The 27,757-nt window shown below is 41.4% G+C and overlaps 1 long non-coding RNA gene across 21 annotated transcripts in view, besides 1 other annotated feature; it reads left to right on the forward strand.

The window, feature by feature from the left end:
- Positions 1-27,757, forward strand: part of LINC01811 (long intergenic non-protein coding RNA 1811) — a 276,733-nt gene that overhangs the window by 83,260 nt on the left and 165,716 nt on the right. For 4 of the 21 annotated variants that reach the window (NR_183698.1, NR_183699.1, NR_183696.1 and 1 more), the window contains one exon: positions 25,699-27,152. The exons of 16 other annotated variants lie outside the window; for them this stretch is intronic. This is a non-coding gene — a long non-coding RNA (long intergenic non-protein coding RNA 1811). Of the gene's footprint in view, positions 1-15,382; positions 15,558-25,698; positions 27,153-27,757 lie in introns of those variants that run through there. One more of the 21 variants, NR_183697.1, reaches the window with a different exon arrangement.
- Positions 6,041-6,090: an enhancer, noted in NCBI's record as "active region_19656". NCBI's record gives its function as "activates an Ori minimal core promoter by ATAC-STARR-seq in GM12878 lymphoblastoid cells {active_cell/tissue: GM12878}" and the evidence as "EXISTENCE:reporter gene assay evidence [ECO:0000049][PMID:35858748]".

A 27,757-nucleotide genomic window follows, 5' to 3' on the forward strand; every position in this document is an offset into this window, starting at 1 on the left:
GAATGGTGTGGCTGGGGCTGCTCATGCACCTTATGGCCTTGTACAGATGGGCTACGATTTAGGCAGGACCAGGTTGGGTGTCTTTGGGCTGAGCAGGGCTGGGAAAGAAAGCAGCTGAAGTCTGTCATGAACTTCCAGTTACTGGTTGTTCTCTGCCATAGCCAAACTCCACTTCTCCTAGATTTACTGATTCTACAAGGATCATTTGCCACCTGTTGAAGTAAACATCTGATACTCCATCTATACAGCACTTGTATTTCACAGTCATATCACCTAAGTCCTCCAAATTTGCAGGAAGTGATATATTGCCTTTCAGCTAGGAATACTTTTGCATTTTCTGGGACTCTTCAATGTGGAGGAAATGCAAAGGCAGTGGGAAAAAGTATGAGGAGTCAGAAAAGCCTATCCCTATTTTACCAATGGGTGCTAATTTTCTTAGGTAGAAATCAGAGAAAACTTCCTGGGAATTTTAAGTGTACTCAGAAATCTTTCATGTCCATGATTGATTTTGCTGAAAGTCAATTATATTTTCTATGAGAGAGATGGAATTTGAAGTTGAATTTTGCCTGGTGATATACAGGCAATAGAGATTAAAAAATTATTATTACACGTGGGGTCTAGTTCAAAAGATATGATATTATCATTGTAGTAAAGGCACTATTTGTAGCTAGTAATGTAGACTAGCTCATCAGCACCCATTTCCCGGCTTTTGAAGACTAAAAACTACGTTTTCCCAACTCCCTTTCCTCTACGATTTTCACGTGACTGGAATTCAGCCAGGCTGTTGGGCCTGCAGTGAGCTTGGAGGCAGATAAGAACAATGTGAGGCACTAGTCATGCCAGGCAGATTTGATCCGGTAAAACCTGTGGCAGAGGCTGCCGATTCTTTTGGGCCAGGTTTGGCGGAGAAACTGGTATCCAGTCTCCACTGTCCTGGGTGTGGAGGAGCACTCAGCTGTAGACAGGTTTTCATTAAACGATTCTGTGGTCTGCTTGGATATTTTCACCCACTGCAATAGCGCTGGTCACTTTGTTCCTGGCCCCTTCACCACCAGAGATTTTGTGAACTTAGTATCTTATATTTTTGTGAGCCACTTAATGTTTAAAATTTTTTACTGATATTTAGAGATAGTTTCAGCTATCATAAATGTGCCGCTCAATGATTTTTCTCAAAGAGAACACACTGTGTAACCAGTGTCCAGATTAAGAAAGGGAAACCCAGGAGGCCCTTGAGTTGTGTTTCATTCTGGTCACTACCTGTGCAAGGGGAATCACTATTCCACCATCTAACAGCCTAGATTGGTTTTGACTGTTTTTGAACTATATATAAAGGGAACCATATATGTTCTTTCTGGCCTGGCTCCTTTTGCTTAATGATCTTTGTAAGATTCATCCATATGGTTGCACATAGTTCTAATTTGTTCTCATTGCTGTATAGCACTCCACTGTATGGGTATATCACAAATTATTTATCTGTTCTAGTGTTGATGGGCATCTGGTAGTTGACTTGGAGTGACTGTTGATAGTGCTGCTCTGAACATTGCGTACATTTCTTTTAGAAAATGCACATACACATTTCTGTTGGGTTTATTGGTAGGGGTAGAATTTCTAGGTGTGGTGAACACAGACAGGAACCATCCAGAATCCCCTTCAAGGAAGGACTTGTTGCCCCAGCTTTCAGGTCCTTCGGAGTCTGCCTTAGCTGCAGCGAGCTGCCTCACCTGAGGGAATGCCCTCTCTGGGGTAGACCACATCAGTGACTGACTGAGGTGGGGTTATTAAGACCTAGCCTTTACAGGCCAATGTAGTGGGGGAACAACTGCAGCACACCACAGTTACTCCAGAGCAACTGTGGGGCTGGCCAAGGCTTTCTTGCGTCTGTACCATATCCCACCTTCTCCCTCAGCTCAGTCCTTTATGCCCCACAACCCTCGCCTTCCACAGTGTGACATTTAATGAATATCTTGTATACCAAACTCCATTTCAGCATCTGCTTCTGGAGAACACAACCTGAAACATTAGGTCATGCCTTGCTAGATAGAAACTGTACGATAGATTTGAATGAATGTTCTGATTGCTCTACATCTGTGTCTACATGGTATCTTTTGATAAAATAGTTTATGCCTAAACTGGCTAGAGCGGATTATAATGTTTATAACAATAGAATGTTGGGCTTCTATGGACTGTGGTGTGTATGGACTGTGACATAAATAGAATGTAGGTGTGTATGGACTGTGACCTCTATATCAAATAGGAAGGGTGTATTTATTAAGCTTCTGGAATTTAGAGTAAGGCCCAAACCAGAATCATGGGTTAAAAAAAGCAAGGAAGTCCTGGGGAAAACGATGAACTCTGCCGAGTTTGCTGTTTGCTGCTCCTCTTTTATGTTTCTGGATTTTTCATCTCTTTTTGTGGTGCCCTTTTTTTATGGTTCAGGCAATCCCTTTACAAGCTTTGCAAAGCCTACTGAAATTAAGGGCTCAAATAAGCTGTCTATGCCAGCAAGCAACCACTGGTCATTTGTGGCCATTTTTTTTTTCCCAAGGGGAAAAAGTCTTCATTCTACCTTCCTATTTGATTGAAAATGTGGTTGGAACTAGAAATTTGAAATAACTTTCCCTCTGAATTTTGAAGGCATTGATCTGTGGTTTTCCTGCTTCCATTATACTGTTGGGAAATTTAAAGCCATCCTTATTCCTGATCCTTTGCATGTGACTTGTTTTTGCCTTCTCTCTGGCAGCCCATAAAACCTTCTCTCTGTTGGGTCTTCTGAACTTTCACAGTGAAATGCAGGGCACTTGGTAGTCCCTTAAAATTTGGAAAATGATATCCCTTGTTTATGGAATTTTTTCTTAAATAATTCTATTAATAATTCTTTATCTAATTTTTTTTCTTTCTTCTTCTCTCTCCTTTCTTCATTGTTTTTTTCTCCCTCCCTTTCTCCTTTCCATTTGGTTATTGGTTTTCCTGGACTCATTCTCTCATTTTCCTATATTTTCTTTCTATTTTTCTTTCTCTTCTACTTTTGATCTATTTTGGGGGATGTTTGCTCAACTTTATATTTCAACTCTTCAGTGGTGTTTTAAATTTTTGCTTGTGTGCTTTTATGTATATGATCTCTTGTTTGTTCTCAGATGTTCCTTTTCTTTAGTATCCTGTTCTTGTTTTATAGATGCATTTTATTTCTTTGAGGTGATGTACAATGCATATCTCCTGGAAGTTTTCATTCTTGCAGAGATTTTGCTTGCTCTGAGTTGCTTTTTTAAGAAAATTTGTTTTGATTCTCATACTTTTGTGTTAGGGATTGCTTCTTTAGAAGGCTGGTGATCCTTGGTTTGTACTCATGTATAAGGTATGTGGACTAAAATCTTGGAAACCTCGAGCAAATGAGTTGGCTGGACGGTGGCAAGCATCACTGTAGGGTAGTCTGAGTGTGGAACCCCTAATGTCAGTATCTTCAGGTCCTGCCTCCCTGGCTGGGCCAAGGGTAAAGGCATGGCTGAGAGCTGAGAGAAGGGAGGGGGCTAGCCTCTGCATTCAGCATGTTTAGCTTTATCTAACTCCACTGCTTTTGGATGACTCCTCACCCTTATCTGTGCCAGGCCAGGGACTTTCTGCCTAAGCTTCTCAGAAAGAAACTTCTAGACTTTCCAGGTGGGAAGTCATTCTGCAGTGTGGAATGAGGACGGGACCTGGAGATCTACCTGCTTCTTGAATAGTTTTCATCCATCCTTTTAAATTTGGCTCCTCTTTCTCTCGCCTCATTTCCAGAGATACATGTTGAGTATCCCTTATCCAAAATCACTGGGACCAGAAGTGTTGATTTTGGAATTTTTCAGATTTTGGAATATTTGCATATTACATAATGAGATATATTGGGGATGGGACTCAAGTCTAAACACAAAATTCATTTATGTTTCATATACACCTTATACACATAGCCCAAAGGTAATTGTATACACTATTTTAAATAATTTTGTGCATGAAACAAAGTTTGTATAAATTGAAGGATCAGAAAAGGAAGGTGTCATGTCAGCCACTCATGGGGATAATCTGTGTTTGTCTGGCATCGCCATCACTCCTGACTCTATATTTGTGTGCTGCTTATCAGGAATTATTTTCTTATATTTATTCACACAGAAATAATTAACAATAAAAGTATGACACACCATTAATATAGTGAAAAAAATAATGTGTCCAGGTTAACCTGGAGTCAGTGCTTAAAGAGTTTTGGATTTTGGGGCATTTGAAATTTTGGATTAGGGATTCTCAACCTGTTCTTGCCGCTCACAGTACCTAAGCTTTTTGAGGATTCTGCTGTCTTACTTCGGTTGGCCTTGGATTCTCTACTGCGATTTTAAAATTCAGATTTCTAGTTTGTAAGATCAATTGCCCCTTGTCCATCTTCCACTAGCTTTGCAATTTTCAACATTTTGTTATCTTCTACCCTGTTCTTTTTATCCTAGTGGAATTATGTTTTTAAAAAAACCCACTATAGCTTTAATAGAGTTTTTGAAAAGAAGAAAAATCAGATGTTTTCGATCTATTATCTTTATGCACAGCTGCCTTCATAGCTTTATATACAGTTTCTACCATTTTTTCTGAGATTCACACTAGGAGATTTCAAAATAATTACTGTTTGAGAATATGGCAGCTTCTAAACATTCCAGGAAAATGACCTGCTTCTCAACATATATAAAGTTAAGCATGTTATATGTTATTACACTTTGAAACATTTTTACTGGCTATACACTTCAAAGCATAGATGTGCCTTGATTTCCATATTTGTATTTTAGATATACAGGTTCAGGGATTCCTTCCCAACAAAGATCAACTGAAAACTCGGAGTATCAGACTTTTACTTTTTACAGGGGTTGGACATATATTTTGTTTCAACTGATTCATTGTTATGATACATACCTTTGTACATAAAGCTTTTTCATGCACTATAATTATTTCTTCAGGCTAAATTCCCAGGAGTGGAATTACTGGATTCCAAGCTATAAACATTTTTAAGATTTTAGATTCTCACTGTCAATTTGCCTTCTAAAAGTTATGACATATTTGTTTAACAAAAGACAATGGGTCAAAATATGTTCATATATATCCTTGGAAAAGGGTGGAGTGAGATATAAACACTCCCCAAAATCCTGGCCTTTCCTCCTTTGCCCACTTATGATGCCACCTCATTTGGGTCATTATAACAGAGCCAGTCTCAGGATTTTCCTGCTACCTGGGGTCCTGCCAATCATGATTAGAGGAATACTTACCACAAGCTTAGATTGCTCAAAGAACACAAGGGTATGGATAATTCTCAGTGACAGCTTCCAGTTTTAGGAAAACTGCGAAATGTTTCTAATTGAAATGGGATTCCAGAAACCTCTTCAGCATCAGAATTCCATCCTCAGGGCTTCTTGTCTTTGTTGCACTCCACAGGTGGGGCCAAGGCCCCTGAAAATGGTGTATCAGGGACAAGAGAAGAGAGGGGAGCTCAATGGAACCCCAATGGTCTCTGGAGCCTATCTCCCCTTGTCCCATGGAGAATTTGTGGTGTGTCTTGGTCATTTCACTCAATAATGTATCTTCTGCCACACACAGTGTTTGGCTTTAAGCAAACTTGTAAGGCAGTACATATTTGAACAGCTTGAAAGGAAGAAAATGGGTTATAGGTACTCAAATGGACCACATCATTTATCATCCTGCAGTGGTCAGGGGAGGAGTCGCTTGAGTGGAACTTTCCCGGGGTTCATAAATAGATAGAAAGCAGGGGGTGGGGGGTGGGGCTGTGTCACAAAAACTTAGGCCAGGGCTTTATTATGTGAGGGGTGTGTGTGTGTGTGTGTGTGTGTGTGTGTGTGTATGTGTTGGTTTAGTGTTGTAGAAGTAACAGCTGCCAGTTGTTACTTATTAGCTTTAATGGATGGTGCACCCTGTAGTGGTCCTGGAGGTGACACTGAAAATGAAAGTAAAGGTGAATGTGGTGGTGATTGTGGTGGCAGCGTCTTCATGGGTGAGCTGAAGATTTTTGGGTGTCTCCATCCTTAGGTTTTTTGACAGCAGCCTCTCAGGGACCCAGTAAAGCAACATTTTGATAGTCCTCAAGACATCAGCAGCCTCCTAAATCTCTGAACAAACAAGCCTGCCTACCAGATAGGGCCTTGTTTACTAAGCATGGTGACTACCTTGGTAATATTCCTTAGTAGTTTATTAATGTATCTGTTTGAAATGTCACAAAAGACAGTGCCTGAATGCTAAATGTGCTGCAGAAAAGAGCCTGTCTTTCTGTATTTGAATTCTGATTTATCTGTCTACCTCTCAGGGCTTTATTTTCCACATCTGGAATGGGAACATGATACTCAGCTCATAGGGTTGTTGTAGGATTAAGTAAAATGACTCTTATGGAGGTCCTTGGCAATAGTGCCTGCACACAGCCTATACTCTAAGCACTACTTCCTTCCTTCCCCAAGAGAGAGGTGCCTTTGGTGGGAAGTCCCATGCAGAGGCCGTTCTGGACAACTCATCAAGGATGGAGCTCCCAGTTCTTTGCTCCCCGCTGCTTCTCTCTGACTCCAAAAGTTGATGTACCTCTGAAAATCCCCTTTCCTCTGCCTTCCCATCATGTTTCACTAAGTAGTGGCTCTCAAAGTGTGGTTCCTGAACCAGGAGCATTGGCATCATCTGGGATATATTAAAGATCCAAATTCTTAGGCTTCACCAGACCGACTTAGTCAAAAACTTTGGGGATGGAGAGAAATCTGTGTTTGAACAAGCCCTGCATGTGATTCTGATGCAGATGTGAGTTTGAGAACCACAGGTCAAAAGAATCTGGACTCTCATTGATATGACCTACTTTCACATTTGGCCTGCTTTCTGGATATGGCCCACCTGCTTTGAGACTGAGAAGTCACTCGAAATCTCCACCCACATCCCCAACAGATGCCTAGCCTGTACTGGAACTTTTATCATGTCCCGGTGATAGTGTTTTATTCTTCTCACCTGTGTATTCCCAGGCACACCTGTGGTGTCCAGCACTTGGCTAGGCCTCAGCCTGCAGAGGAGGAAGCCTTGCTTTCAGCCCTCCTACAGCCCTGCATTTGGATAATGGGGCATAAACTTTATTGTAGTTTTCCTTTTACTTTGCATTTTATATCCTGTCAGTCCTTGAAATGATTGTGTTTTGCCAAAATGGAGAGAAAAATACTTTTTCACTATTGCTGAACACTTTAATAGTCTTGAGCTTTTTCCCTGATCAGAGATTCAGGGCATATGCCAGCCTTTCCTTCATTTTCCAGCTCCAAAATTCTATCACCTCTTTAGAATTTGGGGAAAAGTACTATGCCAAGAACGGCACCAAAAGTTGCTACAGTTGTAATATTTAAAGTAGAGATCCTAAATATTATCATTAATATTCTAATTTGTGTACCTCCACTTTGTTCAGCACAGTTTTTGCACACTGAGGATTACTTAATAAATTATCTATTGAATGGACATGGCTCAAAACATCAAGCCTCTATCAGACCTGTAGGTCTGTCTTGATCAGCTGCTGGCATATTTTGAATACCATTGAATTAAGACTTCCTTGAATAGGCTTGTGTTTATCTTGCAAGAAGCTTTGCCTAGATGAAATTAGATTTTATAAGGTCCCGGATGGTTGTGGGAGCCATAGCAGAGTTTTAATATTTCAGAGAGCAATTATGTTGGGCCTGATATCAAGATCATGTAAAATATGCAACATCTTCTTTGTGCAATATTTTGTTGGAGGTTATTGGGCGTCATAGGGAGCAGACTTGGAAATTATCCTGATTTTAGCAGTTGTTTTGGGTTAGATCAGAATTAGAAATAACTGAGTAGTCCCAGTAGAGACTATTGGGGGCCAGAAGTCTGCTTTGCAAACAGGAAGTTTTTACTTGCTCTAACCTTGGCCCTGGAGTTTTTACTGAAATCTCAGAATATATATATATTCCAGGCTGGGTGCGGTGACTCACGCCTGTAATCCCAGAACTTTGGAAGGCCGAGGCAGGCAGATCACCTGAGATCGGGAGTTTGAGACCAGTCTGACCAACATGGACATATATATATATATATATATATATATATATATATATATATATATAAATATATATATATAATATATGTTTATATATATATATATATATATATGTTTATATATATATATATAATATATGTTTATATATATATATATAATATATGTTTATATATATATATAATATATGTTTATATATATATATAATATATGTTTATATATATATATAATATATGTTTATATATAATATATGTTTATATATATATATAATATATGTTTATATATATATATATAATATATGTTTATATATATATATATGTATTTGAGACAGGATCTCCCTCTGTCACCCAGCTAAAGTGCAGTGGCACAATCTTGGCTTACTGCACACTTGACCTCCTGAGCTCAAGTGATCCTCCCACCTCAGCCTCCCAAGTAGCTGGGACCCACAGGTGCACACCACCACGCCTGGCTAATTTTTTGTAGAGACAGGGTTTTGCCATGTTGCCCTGGCTGGTCTTGAACTCCTGAGCTCAGGTGATCTGCCCACCTCAACCTCCCAAAGTGCTGGGAACCACCATGCCTGGCCAGAACATACTTCTATTTTTTATGGCGTTTGTTAAGAGACAGTGTAGTATAATAGTTAAGAGCAGATGCTGGAGCCTGGCTGCTTGGGTTAGAAGGCTGCCTCCCCCTTTTCCTAGCTGTGTGAGGTTAGGTTACAAACCAAGCCCTTCTCTGCCTCAGTTTCTTCATCAGTAAAACGGAGATTATAGTACTAATTTCATGGAGTTGTTGAGAGGATTAAGAATATCCATACATGTAAAATGCTTTGAACATTTCTTGGCACAAAGAAAGGCCTCAATCAATGTTAGCTATTACTATTGTAATTTAGGCTCAGTTCCAAAGTTACTCTGAGAGGCCTTTCCTGACCACTCAATCCAAGCAGTCATACCTAACTCAACTACCTGTTTTTGACACCATCTTTTTACGGTCTTTATGACACTTGGCACAATCTGACATTAACTGATATGCACAATTTGTTCATCTGTTTATTTTATGTGTCTCCCCAACCCTAGAAAATAAGTTTCATGATGTCAGGGATTATGTCTTTGGTCAATGCTAAATTCTCAATATCGAGAATACTATCTACATCACAATAGGCATTCAGTAAATGTTTTTTTGACTAAATCACAGGTTCCAGAGTTAATCTACTCCTGAACGGACTAAGAGCTATTATTCTCCCACATTGTGGAGAGGCAGGGCATGATCTGGGACTTTCTGACCCCTTGAAGACTAGCTTTTCTCCTGTAATTCTTTAGAGCCTGGGCCGCCCTTTGGTGGACTTTGGAGTCTGGTTCATTCCAGGACCTTCAAAGGCCTGACAACAATGTGCAAGGGGTCAGCAGGAACATGGTGAAGACAGTTGTTGTCAGCCCGCCAAAGATGGAAATGATTTGGATTTTTTAGTCTTTCGAGGATTGAAACAAAATAAGGAGCATAGCTTTATATTGGGGAAGCTTGGCTGTCCTCATGTAAACTCAAGAATGTTGATGTGAGTTGGCTTACACTACTCATACTCATCCTGCCTACTCCAGTAGATGACTGGTCACTCCTGCTGTGAGTTTTGGCTAGTTCAGCTTTCAGCAGAGATACCAATGATCCTTCACGTAAAAAAACAAAAACAAAAAACAAAAAAAAAACCTCACTTCTTCTATGCCAAGCTTGAGTAAGAATGTAAAACAGCCTTAGGTGCCCAAATCTGTGACTCTCTGGATTGGGCTTCTTTATCTTATACACAGATATATTCATCAGGACACAGTCAGCTTGGGAGCACTGGATCAAGACCACTGCTGGGGTCAACCTCTTTATGACTCAAAGTTACCCTTGTCTACACAGGTAATGGGGTGGTTTTTTTTTTTTCAAATCTCTTGTTTGTCAGGAAGGGACAGGCTACGGGAACAAACAATCCCAAAGTCTCAGTGACTTAATACAAAAGAACTTTACTTACCTTCCTTGCAAAGTCTTCAGCAGGTCCAGGTGATTCCCTAGGGCAGCTGTCCTGCTGGCAGCCACTGAGAATATCAGACTGTTTTCAACAAGAGGCCTCCTCCAGGATTGTTGGAGCAGGAGAATAGAGAGGAGTAACAGTTTTACACAGGCCTTCTGCTTCAGCTCTGAAGTGACGCGCTTCAGCTCTGAAATGACGCGCTTCATCTCTGCTTTCCTTTCACTGGCCAGATCTAGTCATATGGCCCAGAAAACTAGAAGGGCCTGTGAAGCATGATCTTTCAGGTCCTCAGGAAGTGGAGGAAAAGTGGGTTTTGGGGAACACCGATAATATTTACCACAAACTACCAAGAGAAAACAGCTTGGTGGTTCTCCTTCTTATGGAAAAACCAAGACTACTCACTCTGCACTTACCATTCAAACAGACATTATTCCAGTGATTAAAAAGAGATTTGCTTTTTGTACCAAGCTTGTGGTACAACTTGAATTTTCTCTGTCTAATGAAGGAAAATAAAATTGCCAATATAATATTTGGTAGAAGACCCTTCTGGTAGGATAATGGTTAGACTATGACCCAATAATGTCATAGAGGGGAAAAAATAATGTTTCAAGGCCTTGGGCCATTTAAGCAATGACTTAGAGATAGAAATGCTTATAGACAGCATGATTAGTATGAAATAAGAAAACTGCTCAGTCGTTAAGTATCTTTGAAAGGGATGCTAACCACCTGGGAAACTTATTTCCTAACTCTTTAGGATTGGTGATGAAATAACACTCAGGTCCTTGAATAGAGTTGTCCATTTTTTCAAGGAAGATCCGTGGTTGCCTACTATAGGTTAGGCATTAAAGTAGATGGGGATATTAATATAGATAAGGCATGGGTCAAACCCTTAGAAAACTCATGATCCAGTGGGAGATACTAACTTAAAAAATGAAACTTCTACAAAATGTGGAAATTGTAATGTAGAGACTCGTACAAGGTGAAGTGATAGCTGTGAGGTCCGAAAAGGCATCAGGCATTTATTTTTTATTGACAAATAAAAGTTGTATATATGTATAGTATACAACTTGAGGCTTTGATATATGTATATATTGTGGAATGGATAAATTAAGCTAATTAACATATGCATTACCTCACATACTTGTCTTTTTTGTGTGTATGGTGAGAACTCTTAAAAATCTACTCTCTTAGCCATTTTCAAGTCAAGAGGAAACCTTTAAACTCAATCTAGAAAAATGAACACGTGATAATCAGGTAGATATGGGGATAAGAGTATTCCAGGCCAGGCACGGTGGCTCACGCCTGTAATCCCAGCACTTTGGGAGGCTGAGGTGGGCAGATCACCTGAGGTCGGGAGTTTGAGACCAGACTGACTAACATGGAGGAACCCGGTCTCTACTAAAAATACAAAATTAGCCAGGCCTGGTGGTGCATGCCTGTAATTCCAGGTACTCAGGAGGCTGAGGCAGGAGAATTGCTTGAACCCAGGAAGTGGAGGTTGTGGTGAACTGAGATTGCACCATTGCACCAGCGTGGGCAGCAAGAGCAAAACTCCTTTAAAAAAAAAAAAAAAAAAAAAAAGTATTCCAGGTAGTGAAAGCACTGTGTAAAGGCACAGAGATGTAAAACGGTAGAAAAGAAAGAAGGGATGAAAAAGAAAAAAAAAAGCAAGTAAGCTGGAGAATAAAGTATGAGGGGGTGAAGCATGTGATTTGGCCAGAGTGGTAGGCAAGGGCCAAGCCTTGGGGAATCTTGTTTGCTATGTTAAGGAATTTGGGCTTTATTCTGAGGACAATGGGATGCCATTGAAAGGTTTAATGCAGGAAGTTTACATTTAATTACCCAGTTTTCTCTGGTAGCTGGCAGGAGAATGGGTTAGAGATGTTGAGACTAGAAGCAGAGAGCCTCGTGAAGAAGCTGATGAGCTGTCCAGGTAAGAGTTGATGAAATCTACACTAGGAAGTGGGCCCTAGAGGTAAAGACAAGACCTACTGGGTCTGGCATTGGGTAGTAGACAGAAAGGAATAGCACCCTGTCACTTCTGATCCTGCTTGACTTAGGGGTCCAGGAGAAGGTATTGTGAGGGAGGATGCATTAAAAACCATATGAAGATTTCTAAGTCCAGTCTGGTAGCTGTAGTGGATGTGCTTGGTACCTTGTTCAGTACCATTTATTATGCTGAAGTACCCATCCCCCAGCTGCTGCAAGTGTGGGCTGCTGAAGGCTCACAGATGCATCCATTCTCCAGAGAACTGTCCTCAGATGCTTGGTCCTGGACGTTGCACATGCCCTGCTCTGGGCAAGCCTACAGTCAATAATGAACTCCTATGGGGGCACAAAGGTTGCACCTAAAGGTGACGAATACTTTGCATTGTAATTTATCTTCAGAGCCCTCTGTGGATTGAGTCAAGTCTAGACTCTGAGACCATAGCTTTGCTTAGCTCCTTCCTTTGCCTTATCCTACTCCCTCCTCCCTTTCCCTGAGAGTTCTCCCATAGTATATTGTGTGCACCAGAAACCTTGTTTCAACCTGTGCTTCCGCTCAGAGGAAACCCAAGACACCAGGAAATGGTGGAGATGGAAGTTAATAAAATATTGGGGGGAAAAAATCTCCCAGCAGCTACCCATATGAGGATGAGAATTAGAGAACATAGTCTGAGAGTATAATATTTGGAGGTAAATGATGCAATGAAATGGAGGGACAGATATCCTTATCCTCTTGCCAAGTTTATGAAAGAGAATTCAGATTCTTCAAAGCATGCATATGTGTGCTCTGCCCTTAGTGGCATGGACTGCTACTGCTACTTGGGGCCCCAAACATCTATGGGGCTGAGTTTCAAGTCCCTTTTGATGAAAATTCCAAGGACCAGGCGATATTGCTCATCTGTTTACAAAGCAGATGTGGGAGGTTGTAGAAGGCTGAGGGCTGATTTGAAGTGTGCTATTCTCCTCTTCTTTCAGTAGAGGTGACCTGGGCATTGAACCTGCAGTTGTTGGACCTCAGTCACCTTATCTGAAAAGATAAGGGGTGGGACTAGCTAATCTTATTCTCTGCCAGACCTGGGATTTAATTCTGTTTTCTGAAATGAAATTGCAAATGCTAAGAACATCTCTCTTTCTCTCTCTTTTTTTTCTTTTCTTTTCTTTTTTTTTTTTTTTTTGCCTAGGTGGCTCCTAAGGCTGTGGGCTTCAGAAATAGATAAAAATTTTCCCTAGCTCACTCCTCCCCCTTTTCTAAGCCATCTCTTTACAAAGCCTTCAGCTCCCTCCCGTCCCCTTTATGCTGAATAACACTACCTGTGTGGGTAGAAGTCATTTTTAGCCTCTGTGTCTGGGTCGAAGGCTCCAAGCCTAGTTTTCCTATTGTTTTGCTGTCTCCTGTTCAAAGCTGCCCTTACCTTGCTGAGTACGCTGGCCAGGAGGAAGCCTGCGCCAGTATGGAGGGTGGCATTTGTAGTTTCTCTCCTCCCACACTGAAAAAGCATCAAGTTGCTGGCATGCAGAACAATACTAAGAGGGGCTGGCTGGGATTTTTATTTTGGACTTCCTGTTCCAAAAAGGTTTGCTTCATTTTGGCATGGAGACAAAACACAACTACCCCCTTTAGCAAACACTATAAAACCATCTCCAGACAAAACCTCCCTTGGTGCTTTAATTGGGCAGCTGTAAGGAACCAGGTCCAGGTTTATGGTGAGGGCTTATGTGTAAGGATGAGGCACTCCAGGTCATTTGAGACACTGTGGGTTGTTTTGACTTTTTATTTTAGCTCTTGGTCTTATGAGTGAACACGGGGAGGGAGTAAGGGAGAGGAAATGCGGGGAGAGAGTGGCAAAAGAGAGAAGCAGAGGAAAGGGAGCTAATGGGGGTAGAGATGATGAAGATGGTGGCAAGAAGAATAAAGAAAACCACTGAGGGAGGAAGGGGAGAAAAAAAAGAAGTAGGGAGAAGGGAGAATTAGAGAAAGAGAGAGAAATAGAGGTGTGGATGAATTCAGAAATAGCGAGGGAAATCTTGCTCTTTGCAAAGAATTTTGGAATGGGGGACTCTGGGCTGTTGCATAATCATTTTGAGACAGGGTGGTCATGGGTGAGAAAAACTGGTAAAAAAATGTGAAAACTTTTCTTACATTTTGGCAGACCCAGGATAGAAAGAAATGAGGAATGTAAGTGGCAGAGCTGAGTTTTAAGCCCAAAGTGTCCTGGCTTCTTAATCCATCTTTCAAGCACATTCTCACCCATCCAGGCACCAGAGTATTCCTAGGGGCTGCTTTCCTTTAAAAGGGCATGGGATCACGACCTTTCTACTGACTCTGCTGAGTGCAGCAGGAAAGGGGATAGTTTGGTGGTCTCTATGGAAACTTAGGACACTGGGCTCTGCCTCTGTCGCTTGCCAGCTATGTTGCTTTGGGCAATTGCCTGACCTTTCTCAGCCTCAGCTCCCTCAGGTGTAAACTAGGGATAGTAATAGTACTAATTGGACAGTATTGTTCAGCATAGGAGAGTCCTTAGTGCATTGTTTTCTCCTGCTTTCTCTCGTAACTTTCCAGGAGAGTTCCCTGGGTGACTGTGGAGTCTATGGTTTCTTTCCTACACAGTCTGATTCTCTAGGCTTCCAGGAATAAGGTCTCTCTCCAGCACTGGGTTGGTACCTCCAGCTGGGCCCCAGCAACATGACACTGTCTCTTTGGTGACTATGAAGCTTTAGTCAGTCTTGGTTTAGCCATTGTAAAGGGGTCAGCGATTGTGATGGGGTTTCATGCCCAGAAGTTGATGCCACAGCAACTCTAGTCCCCTCTTGGCCCCTCGTAGTCCTCTATACTACTATTTTGTAGGCACTGGACATGCTAAAGAGCCTTGGTGGTCAGAATGAGGCTGGGCAGCTAGATTCCACCCTCTGCTCAGCCAGCGCAAGACGAAGTGCAGCCTGTGCTCTTGTTCACTGATGGTGAGATGAAATCAGTGAAGTAGATAACTTCCCCATGCCACAGTCAGAGCTGGTTTCTTCTTCTACACTTTGGACTTATTGCCGTTTTGGCTCACCATTCCTTAGTTCTAGTTGTTTGTTTGTTTGTTTTTGCCCTGAGTTGGAGCTTCTTATGGTCATGAAGCAGTGTGTCTCAGGTGATCATCAGGCAGAGAACAGAGAATTTGCACTGCCAGACAGAGGACACAGTGCCATGATCCCATGTAATCTTTTAAATTGGTTAGAGAGTCTCTAGACCAACATCCTCATTGTAAATTGCTTTCCTAATACTATCATTTACCAAACCACACCAGGGCCAGGCTCCATACTATAGATGTCTCATTATATCCTTACCACATTGCCCTTAGGTTGGCAGGAATGGACTGCTCCATTTTCAGTGCAGATACAGGGAGGCTCAGAGAAGTGAAGGCCCTTGCTCATAAATGGTGGAACCCGAACGGGGAAGATAGAAGTCCTCCAGAGTCACAGACCCAGAGCTCCCAGGCAGAGTCCTGTGGAATTCTGGGTGTTGGACACTTTCAGGTGAGTCAATGTGGATGATAGAAAAAGCTCCCTGGCCTTTGGCAGAGGTCAGAGTGGTGGCGATGGGCCCCTCTGCTGAGGTTAGCATGGGTAGGGATCCTGGCTTTGTCATTACTATACAGTAGTGGTGATGAATTTTAAGAAACATGCCAAAAGGAGAGTGGTAAGACCTCAGGCTGAGGTGACTTTTGTCATAGAATTCTAGAAATTTGGTTTCAACTGTTGCTTCTTAAGGGTAAAAAAGGAATAGATAAGCTTTCCCTTTCCTTGCAAATGTACCCCCTGGAGCTTCAGAGAGAGCTAGATTGCACTGCTGGGATAGCTAAGGAGGCTGCTTTGCCTCCTTTGCTTAACTGCTTCCCGGGGTCCAGGTGGCATGCCCCACACTAGGCATTGTAGCTGTCCTTTTCACAAAGAAGAAACAGAGAACAATATTATGTAGGAAGATATTTATTTTCTATACCTTTTGCCTGTCTGGGATGCTGGGTCTCTGCCAGGGCTGGAGAAATTAAGGGAGAATTGTGTTCTTGTATTCCCTAGGGCTATTTTATGTGCCCAGGCACTTGGCTCAGGCCTCTCTACAGCACTAATCAGTTTGCATTACAAGAGTCTGTTTCCAAGGTTGTCTCCGCCACTGTACTGTGAACTCCCACTGAGCCATGGGCCAAACCTGACTCATTGTTCTCTATGAGCACAGAACCTGCTGTGGGATAAGTTGGGAAGAAGGCATTTAGGACTGAGTTAGAAGATGGCATTACCTTGGTACCCTCATCACAATTTCAGATCTGGCCCTCCCCCTACAAATGCAGAAATACAGACCCAGCCATGAACCAGAGTTCCAGGGATGCAAATATGCCAAGGAGCTCCCAAGAGACAAAGGAACTGAATCAGTAAGTTAGTTTCACTATAGGAAATAGATCCCTTTAAACTCAGGGTGTTGGAATAGGCCAGGCCAGGACATTATCTCCCTGTCTCCCTGTGAACAAACCTGCAGTAGATAGCATAGGCCAGTGGTTCTCAGTCTTGAAGAGAATCAAAATCACCTGGAGGATTTGTTAGAACACAGATGGGTGGGCCCCACTCCTGAGTTTCTTCTGATTCAGTAGGTCTGGGATGGGGCCTGAGAATTTGCATTTCCAACATCTAATGCCATAGATCCAGGGACCTTCACTTTGAGAGTCGCCACTTTAGGTTAATATGGGGATTACGTAAGGAGGGGAACTTGGCTTCAGTGATCCCCAAAGGCTGGGGATCTCTGAAAAATCTGGACATTTGATCAGCTGAATATATATCACATTGCTCCTGCTCTTTTTTCACTTGTATCCTTCTTGCAAAACTAACCAAAGCAATAAAAAAATTCACAACAACAAAAATGATCCTAAACAATAATATCAAGCATCACAAAAAAGATAAGTAAGAACAAAGCTGTATCCTTGGTGTTGTAAAATGGTTTTGCATCGTATTTTTAGTTGGAAGTAACCCCAGCTCAAGACCAGAAACTCCTCTGGTATGGTCCAGGTGGGCTAGATCTTTGCCAGCAAGATCCCCAGCCCAAGGGCCTGGAGGTGGATCAGGTAGCTTGGCTGCTCAGAGGAAACCATGCCAGGAAGCTGGTGTGAGGATGAACCGCAATCCACACCTGTTTTCTCCTCAGCACAGCTGTCTCCTAAGGCATGGACACCTCACCATCTGTGCCTTTAACATGTGAAACACATTTTAAAATATACTATTTAATTTAAAATGATATTTGTCAGCTCGCTGCTGTGCCAGCTCCCTCTGCACAGAAGTGTTGCTGACAGAGCTTTAGTACAAAGAGAAGCAGGCCTGCAGGGTCAGCTGGCCAGGGACATAGAGGCTGGGCAACAGTGTGGAAGTTCATGGTGAAGCTGGCAAGCTTTTTATAGCCAGCAGTCATACCCTCACCTTGTCCTCCGAGACCTGGGACCCTCTAGAGGTCCAGGGTTACACAGTTTAAGGTATTGATGTTTCCGGAAGGAATGGCACCTTTGAAACTCTGTGAATTTCTCCATTCTTTCTCCTAACTGCAGTACAGATCCTGTGGGTAAATATTAATCAATCAATATGTCTACCTAAGAAAGCCCCTAATAACACATGAGCTACTATTGCTAAGACACATCCTCCCTGAAAGCTGTCCCAGTACTCCATCTCAGAGCTAGGATGCACCTTCTTCTTTCAAAGTCCATTTTATGCCTCTGTTCAGCCAGTTTGCTTCCCTCCGTTGTGGAAATTCAGAGGATTTTTCACAGCCTGGGTATGACAGACTTGTTCCCACTGTGCTATGAATTCATGCCTGCTCAGACTGCACCACCTTCCCATAAGGAGGTGTTAGGGGTGTCATCTGGGCTTTTAGCTCTGTTGTCAGCTTCGAAATAAATTGTAACCACAATTTGTAGCACAGGGAGGTGGTGAGGGAGGAATGGAGGGAGCAACAGAGAGATAGCTGAATTGTGGACAAATATGCTCTCTGATCAGTTTCTAGAAAAATCTTCCCAGGTAATTGTGTGCCTCAAGCCTAGGGTTGTTGTACATGGATTTTCTGCAAATTTTTATAGCTCATAGCCTAACTTACAGTTTGAAGGGAGAAGGGCCACCAGGTGGGGCTAAAGAGAGGCTTGTTTTGGATGAGGCAGAAGTCCACAGACTTATTTTGTTGTCTTGGAAAAGAGTTTACTTTTAATATCTTAAAATGAAAGTTAAGACCTAGTAAGTCTTTGCAGTTCATATTTCTTCTGCAGAAATGGTCCCTGCTTTTAAGAGTATTAAGCATTGTACCTTTAATCTCAAACCAACTCTATGCAACCTGCCTTCCTGCCTTCCCTCCTTCCTGCCTTCCTTCTCTCCCTTTGTCCCCCCTTCTTCCCTTCTTCCTCCTTTTCTTTCCTCCTTTTCTCCCTTCTTTTCTTACTTCTTTCTTTTCTTCCCTTTCCTTGCTCCTTCCCTCCCATCCTTCCATTTCTCTTTTTCCTCCTGCCCTACCGCCCCCTCATTCTGATGTAATGATTCATTTATCTGTTGAGACAATCCAATTTGCCTCCTTTCCACCAAGCACTATTTCAGGGAGTAGCTATGAATAAAACCCCTTGGATTCTGAAAGGAAGGGCAGAGCAGCTCACTGTCTCATGTCAGAGTTCACTGCTCTAGACTGATTAGCATTATTACTTCAGAGAAATGCCTTCAGCAAGATTCCAACTGGATATTTGTATAGCATTTTCCAGGGAGATATTAACAGTTCTCAGAATAATCTGGTAGTTTGATTTCACTGATGTACTTGTGATTTGTCCTTTTCTGAGAATTTGAACTTTTTTTTCCACTTTAAAACATAATAGAATAGTTTTACATGTCATGCTTTGAAATGTAAATATTTTCAAGTTCTGAGTGTACAGATAATAAATAATGCTCTAAAGTTTTAGATTAATTGGTAATTAATTTTTGCAAAGAGCTTTGAGATGGAAAGTGCTGCATTTCATCATGTCAAATTAGCATTGATTACAGAGATTTTTAAGTTTAACACCATGCAAATGCTGGCTTTTTCAGACTTATAAAATTGTATTTCTAGAACAAAGGGGTGCTTCTTTAGAATCTTACGTCAATTGTTGGATAGATGAGAGAATCAATGACCTTGATGAACATAGCAATCAGTCTGATAGCGCGTGCGCGCGCATGCGCACGTGCACACACACACACACACACACACACACACACACACACACACACTTGAGAATTTTGACTGCATTGGGAAAACAATTCTGCATCACATTATGGGCATTCTAGAGTGTGGAAAATGGCAATGAAAAGTGACTCATTGTGGCAGCCCACAAATCCACTCTTCCTCACACATTGAATGAGATAATACAATTAATTGAGCACATATGTTGATTCAGCCTTCAAAGGTTAAGAATAACCAGGCAAGAGCCATGGGAAGGCAGACAAGCCCTCAGGAAAGTACCTTACAAAGTGGTGACAATGAGCACAGACCATGATGCCTCATGGGGACAGCACCAGCTGTGGAATCACAGAAATAAGAATCACTATTCTCTCATCTGCCTACTGCCTACGTGACCCTGGGAACAGTTACCCAGCCTTCTTGAGTCTGTTTCCTCTCTGAAAGATGAGATCACAAGACCTATCTCGGGGCTGTTTTAAGTAAATGAGGTAAATGAACATAGCACTCAGCATAGTGCCTGGCACATTTTCCATACGTGTTATCCTATGGCTAATGATGCCTAGGGACACCCAGGGAAGGTTTCCTCAAATTGTCACAGGGGATGAGAACCCTTCAGGGTAAAAGTGTTTGAGACAGTAAAACACAATTTATCCAGCAATAAAAATAACACACTTGCATCCTGCTTTGGAGTTTACAAAGCACACAGTTATACCTTCATGGTGTCCTCACGACTTCCTTGTGAGATCAAGACAAGTAAAATTTTCCCAAAGCAGGGATGAGAAGGCTGAGTGATTTGTCCACCGGCAAACACAGCCTGAAATCCAGATCTTTTGATTCCAAGCCCAGTGCTATTCTGCTACATCCTTGCAGGTACCAATAGGCATCCCAGGGTGTAAAAGGAAGGAACCAGGGTCATCTTAGTCCTGGGGTAGAGAAATCATTTTCTCAGAGAGAGAGAGGACTGCCATATTTCTCGTTCTATGAGTAGTCAAAGAACCATTCTTTGGCACACACACACAGACACACAGATGCAGACAAACACACACACAGAGACACAGATATACACATCCATATTCCAGAAGACCCTGACAGCTAGTGAAGACCATTTACCAGGTGCCTATAATACATAAAATAAGGAAAATGTCATTTTCAAAGGCTAATCCCCACTTTTTTATGATGCAAACAAGAAATTCTGATTTTGAGCCTGGTAGAAGGAGGGAAAAACTTGCTTGGTGATTCTAGAAATGTGGCAGTGGCATGCTAATCTGGGTACAAAGGTTATGCACATTTTATTTTTCCCCCAGAGCTATCATCTTTCTCACAGCTTGTTTCCTTCTCTTTTTATGAAATGTTGCTGGTGAATGCAGAGGACTTTTATTTTGTTAAAAGGAGCTTTATTTGAGACATGTTTCCTTAACGACAGACTTTTTATATATAGAAACAGCACTGCCTGATATTTTTAAAACTTCTTCTGGAATCAAAATCTAAGTCACTTTATATTGGGTAAGTTCGGGGGTCGGTGAAAGGGGTCCACGACATCCTTTAATTACTGGGCTCCTAGACAACTGGGCTGCAAATTGCTTCACCAGTTCTCTTTGTGAATTCCATGCCTGCTACAGACCTGGCAGCAATCTGTACCAGGAAGGCTGGAGAGGATGCTGGCAGCTGTCACCTCATCTCTCATCACCTTCTAGTTCTTTCCTTCTCTCTTTCTCCTCCTTTTTCCTTTGCTTCCCTCTAGCTTAGCAGTTTAATAGCATACTAGGTTCTTCTCCATAAATAGATCCCAAGCTTGGCTGCATCACCAGTCACTTGGATAAGCTAATTAAAACTATAGATTCAGGGGCCTCATCCCAGATATTCTGAATTAGACCTGAGAGTCTGGATTTCTAAGCTTCTTCCCAGGTGATTCTAAGCCTGCCAGCCTGTCCTGTTCTTTGATCATATAAAGAACAACTTATTGACTGGGCACGGTGGCTCACGCCTATAATCCCAGCACTTTGGGAGGCCAAGGTGGGCGGATCACTTGAGGTCAGGAGTTCGAGACCAGCCTAGCCAACATGGTGAAACGCCATCTCTACTAAAAATACAAAAATCAGCCGGGCATGGTAGTGCGCGTCTGTAATCCCAGCTATTCAGGAGGCTGAGGCAGGAGAATCGCTTGAACTGGGGAGGCAGAGGTTGCAACAGAGCGAGATTCCATCTCAAAAAAGAACAAATTCCTTATTTATTCATTTATTTATTTTTGAGATAGGGTGTCACTCTGTTGCCCTGACTGGAGGGCAGTGGCATGATCACAGCTCACTGCAGCCTCAAACTCTTGGGCTTATGTGATCCTTTCACCTTAGCCTCTTGAGTAGCTGGGGCTACAGGTGTGTGCCACCACACATGGCTAATTTTTAAAAATTTTTTATAGAGACGGAGTCTTGCTTGTTGCTCAGACTGGTTTTGAACTCCTGGCCTCAAGTGATCCTCCCACCTCAGCCCCCTGAAGTGCTGGGATTACAAGTGTGAGCCACTGTGCCTGACCAAAAACAACTTTGTATTGCACAGAGCGTTGTTTGTATGTGAATACATCTGATCCTTGCAATTACCCCGTAGACAGATATAGAAGCTGAAGCTCAGGGAGCTTAAGTAATCTGTTGAAGGTCAACTATTTATTCACTCACTTATTAATTGAATCACTGAGTGATTTATTCTTTCATAATATATATTTTTTTATGGCCCAGGCCCTGTGACAGAACAGAAAATATGGAGACCAGTAAATCATGATAGCTCTCCTCAAAGTATTCTATCTAAACTCTAACGGATTGCTCAGCTCATTGCTGCTGAAACCGAGACTCAAAAGATTTTATACTTTTAAAAAACTTTTTATTTTGAAATAATTATAGACTCACAAGAAGTTGTAAAAATAGTGCAAAGACTTCCTGTCTTTGCATCACCCAGCTTCTCCCTGTGGAAACATCTTACAAAACTATCAAAATCAGGAAATAGACATTGGCGCAATATAATTAACTAGACTACAGATCATACTCAGATTTCACCAGCTTTTGTCCCAGACCATTTTTACTAAAGCATGAAGCTACCAGTGGACTATATAACCTGTGTAGCCTTGATACTGGTTCATAATCAAAATGGTTTCTAACCCCTGGGGTAATAGCTGCTGATCAAAAAATGCAGAACACACAAACTGTTCTCTGGATGAGTTTGCTTTTCAAAAAATAAAAACAAATGCAATACATAGTGGATGCTATTAATGCTCTGGCCAGATCACCTTTACTGGGCCAGTGCCCAGTAAAAAGGACTGCAGTCTTTCAAGAGCACAAAACTGAGCACAGAGCTGGAATTTGGGAGAACTGGGGTCTTTTCTCACCTGCTGTGAGTATTGGCTGCTACTGGCTTATGGCTCCCTCTTCTCCGGAAAATTGGCCCTCAGTCAAGCAAGAGCTGTCTGTGCCTGGCCCAAGATGTTATGCCCTCTTCCTACTTCCCAGAGCCCACAGCCAGTGACTGACTGATATGGGGGTAAAGAAAGCTTGTCCTCTTGCTTCAAGGTGGGACGCTGAGGCAATTAATGCTCCAGAGCTCCTAGTAGGATAAGCCTGAAGCTCATCTCCAGCTGAGACCACAGCCTTGCTCAGCTCCTTCCCATACCCATCTTGAGATCACCCCCTCCATAAATCTCATGCATCTGCATCCCTATGTCAGACTCTGCTTCCAGGGAATTTGAGCAAAGCTATATGCTTATTTTGTTTTCTTGTATCACCTTTTCATTTTAGAGAAGGGCAGTCCTACATTCAAAATTGATTTCCTCGTAGCACATTGAAACACCCCTCACACACTCACACAGATCTATACAGATACACAAACACATTCTCACCTGTACACCATCATCAACATTCTCACACACACCATAACCAAAGCAGTGTGGCAGATGGTGATAAGGTAATCCAGGTGTCCTTCTATTATGTGCATATACAAACGACACATTGACTACCACATCAATGGTTATGAATTTCATGTTACACTGAGTCTCATTAGTTTGTAGACATTACTTTGAGGTAATCAACACAGTGTGATTAGAAAGCAATTTTAAATGTAGCATAACATTTTAGCTGGAAGTTCAAATTACTGTCTCCCTGCCTCCCCATCTATGCAAAGTCAACTTTCAATTAGATGGACTGAACCAAACAGATCATTGGTTTATCCTTTAGCAGAGAATAACATCAATAAGACTGAAGGCTGATTGGCCTGCTTGAATGATTGTAGCCTGTACAAAATTATGAAGGACTGCAGTCTTTCAATAGCACAAAACTGAACACAAAGCTGGGATTTTGGAGTCCTGGGACTTCCCTCAACTGCCAGCTATGAAACCCTTGGCATGTTTCTTTAAAATCTCTGTCTTATTTTCCCATAAAATGGAGATAATATACCCTCTCTTGTGTGTCCCAGAAAACAAAGATAAAATTATTGCAGTGAAAGTGCTTTATAAGCTTATAAAGTACTGAGAGAAAGGTGGGTATCATTTTCCAGGGCCTCAGCCCTGGTCTTGAGCACTTCTTTCTCCATTTATTAAACATCCTCCCTTCTTCCCTCCTTTCTCCCAACCAAGCACTTGATGCTTTTTTTTTTTCCCTGCCAGTAAAGTCTCATCTCTTTTCTATGTCTTCTTTGAGGTACTCTGACTCTCTTGGAATTCATTTTCCTCAGGAATCTGACCAAGAAAAGGACATAAATATGATCTAACAATGCTATAATATGGCTGGAATTTTATAGGTACTTTAATCATCCTAGATGCTCGAAATCTAGATTCAAACACAAAAACAAAATGTGTCCAGTCTTTTGATTTGGCTTATTCTGCAATACGATTTTGTGTTGTTACAACCAAGATACTGCAAATAAACCCCAGTATTTTTCTATAAATAGCCCTTGTGTGCTCAGCATTTCTTTCATAAGGCATTTGCTGCTGTAGAATCACTCTTCCTCAGGTCACCATTCAGTCTGCTGTGATCACACAGCAGCTAAGGAGCTGGTAGGCATTCAAGGAAGGGGGGATATGGAGCATGTGGTGATGAGGCCAAGACTTCCAGGCTTGGAGACTACCTCTTCTGAGTTCAGTTTTCACTTTTTCTTGCTTCTGGAAATATACTATTAATTTCTTCCTTCCCACTTGAAATCAGATGTTAGCATCTTCTTTGAAGACCGCCTCCATATGGAGTGCCAAGAGCATCAAAATATAACAGTCCAGATTTTGTATGCTATAAAAGTATAGCATTTATTGACATGAAGTTAATTATATTGGAGTACACCAGAGGAAATAAAAAGATTAAACTTTTACCCAAGATGTTCCATTTCTCAAAATTTACACAAGTTACCATAAAACTTGTTCAGGAGATGTAGTCTAAACAGTCTAGTAGCCCAAGACACAATTCAAAGTCTAAGCCTTCTGGCATTTATTGCTGCCTATTTTCTGAGCCTGACTGGTAAAATCTCTAGTGAGTCCTGGTTGCATCTCATCAGCAAGGATGACTCTGGAAATGCAAAAGCTGTTCTACTGGGTTCAACTTGAATATTTTGTACCTTTCAGTTTATGGAATATTTAAGTTATAATCAGGAATGTTTTGATATATTAAAATGTCACCTCTTCATAATAAAGTGACAGCTGCAACAGTAACTACTACATTCCCTATTAAGTGCCTCTCAGTTAATGTTGTGTCTCTCTCTGCTGGTTCTCCAGACTTCAGGGGTCATTTTGAAGCTTTACTCTCAATTCCCATGTGTAATCCCTCACCAAATCCTGTTGATTTCACTCCCATAATTTTTATTAAATCTTTCCACTCTTCTAAATTTGTACTGCCCTCATTCTAACCTAAGGACCTGACTTATCATGCCCGAATTATTATAATCATGCCTTCTTGAAGCTGTTCTTGTCCCTCTCCAACTTAGTCTACTCACCTCCACTGGAGTGACCTATAAAAATGCAGAGTTGGTTTCAGATTTAAGAGGGCAGACTGATACAGCTAGTTTTCCTGTCTCCCAAAAGCCCCCTAAAAGGACAAGGGGAGATTTTTAAAACAATAATTTAAACACAATAGTGCTGGAAGACAAAGACAGAAGCCAATAGTAAAAGAGTAAGTTTAAGAAAATCCTGGATGATAAAAGACAGGTATGATCAGTTTAACAGAGTTGACGGAATGGGAGAAATTTCAGCCTGAAACACCAGGGATAAGGGAGCAGAAGAAGCTCTGAGGTCAAAGCCAACCAATAAACACTGCTGGCTGTAGGGTGATCACCAGGGTTCTTGGCTTTTAAAACACTGAAATTAGAACAGCTGAGTCTCCTGGGAGTGTCCCTCTTTATCTCATGTTTCCTTATGCACAGAGCATATGAGTCAGGGTAGGAGCAGAACAAAATCCAGGAACTAATGTCTAAAGAAAATGTGTATGATCTTTCTAGGAAGGTATCCTTCTGCAGTTTGGGGGATCTGAAGAAAAGCTGAGCAGATCAGAAATGAACTCAGCAGAATTAACATTAGAAAGAGAGAAACAAGGACACCAAGAAGCAATTTCACCCAGGAAAGCATTCTGTTATGAAATCCAAGCTCTCTTTACATGAAGACTCAGCCTGCAGACAGCTCCCTACACATGCACCCCACAGGGAAGGCTGCTTGTCACCAGCAACCATCTCCATCCACATTCCCCCCGCCCTGCCCCCACGAGAAGCCTGCCTTCAGTTGTCCCAATTACAGGGAAGCCTGCTGAGGAAACAGAACTGTCTGAATGCAAAGGAAATTTAGCTCTTATGAATATGAACTCTCAACCAAGAATCACCAGACGTTTAAGGAAAACCAAGAACACAAAAGAGAAAGATCAAGATTAAAAAAACAGCTGGGCGTGGTGGCTCTTGCCTGTAATCCCAGCACTTTGGGAGGCTGAGGCGGGAGGATCGCTTGAGCATAGGAGTTCGAGACTAACCTGGACAATATAGTGAGACCTCGTGTCTACATAAAATTTAAAAATTAATTAGCTGGGCATGGTGTTGTGCACCTGTAGACCCAACTACTCAGGAGGCTGAGGTGGGAGGATCCTTTGAGCCTGAGATGTTGACGGTGCAGTGAGCTGTGATAGCTAAATGAGATCACTCTGTAAAACAAACAAACAACAACAATAAAACCAGAGCCATCTTCTGAAAAAACAGAAATCATTGAGAAATAATAAAAGAACTTAAAAGTTCTAATATCCTTAGAAACAGGTGGATATTGTTTCTATTTTTACAAAGTACAAGAAAAGAAAAAAAGAACAAGCATTAGTGAAAAAAGGAATCCCTAGAAACTAAAAATGTGTTTATACAATGGAAAAAAGATATCATAGAACTAACAAAGAAATGGAAAAGCCAAGGTTAAAGACCAAAGTTGGCAAATAAATCAAGGACATCTCCCATAATGAAAAACAAAAGCTAAAGAGAGCATCTTATCAACAGTAGAATGGACATAAATTTGAATGTATTTATGTGTGGACTATTATACAGCAATGAGAATAAGCATATTAGAACTATACACAACAACATGGATGAATCTCATGAGCATGAAGTTAGGGAACTTAAGAAGCCAGCTACAAAGAGCACATGCTGTGTTATTTCATGTACATAAAGTTCAAAAACAGGCAGCACTAACCTATGGCATTAAAAGCCAAGAAAGTCAAAAGATACCCTTGGGGTGGTGGTGACAGGAAGCAGCATGAGGGTCCTTCTGTGTTGGTGACATTCTCTTTCTTCAAGAGCTCGCTATGTGGGTGGTTTGCTTTGTAAAAATTCAGCAATGTGTACAGTTGTGTACATTTTTAATGTATACTTTTATATGTTTTAACCTTCAAAAAGTGAAACAAATATAAAACTTCATGTGTTCAAATTAACCAATTTATCCTTAATGGTCTGGATTTTTATTATATTCAGAAAGTCCTTTCCTAGTCTGAGATTACAATTTTCTTTTTCCTGATGCTGTTTATTTTGTGATTTACTATCTTTTGTTGTTTAAATTGTGTATCCACGTAGATTTCATTTTATAAATCATCATTTTGAAAACTACTGCATGTCTCACCAACAAATGTGTAATGATGGATTTAATCGATCCCTTATTGTTAAAAGTATAGGTCATATCCAGTTTTCACTATTAGGAAAGTAAAAAAAAAGTGTACAGACAAATGAGGAATGAGGAGTTTAACATTCATCCATTAAGAGTTTCAGAAAGAGGACAGAGATAATGGAGTGAGGAGAAAAAAAAGGCAAATAGAGGCAAGTTCCCCAGAAGTGAAGTAAGACAGTATTGTGTGTAATGCCCTAAATCACACTGAGCAGGATGCTGAACAAAGAGATCCACACTTAGAAGCAAAATAGTTGCTAAGTGGAACATTCTTAGAATAAAAAGAATGTCCCAAAAGTTTCTGTAAATATGAAGCAGGTTACCTGTGATGCAGTAAGAATCAGCTTGACATCAGACTGTTCACTGGCAAGAGTAAAG

The sequence above is a fragment of the Homo sapiens genome, chromosome 3, assembly GCF_000001405.40.
Source record: "Homo sapiens chromosome 3, GRCh38.p14 Primary Assembly".
NCBI classification, from domain to species: domain Eukaryota; kingdom Metazoa; phylum Chordata; class Mammalia; order Primates; family Hominidae; genus Homo; species Homo sapiens.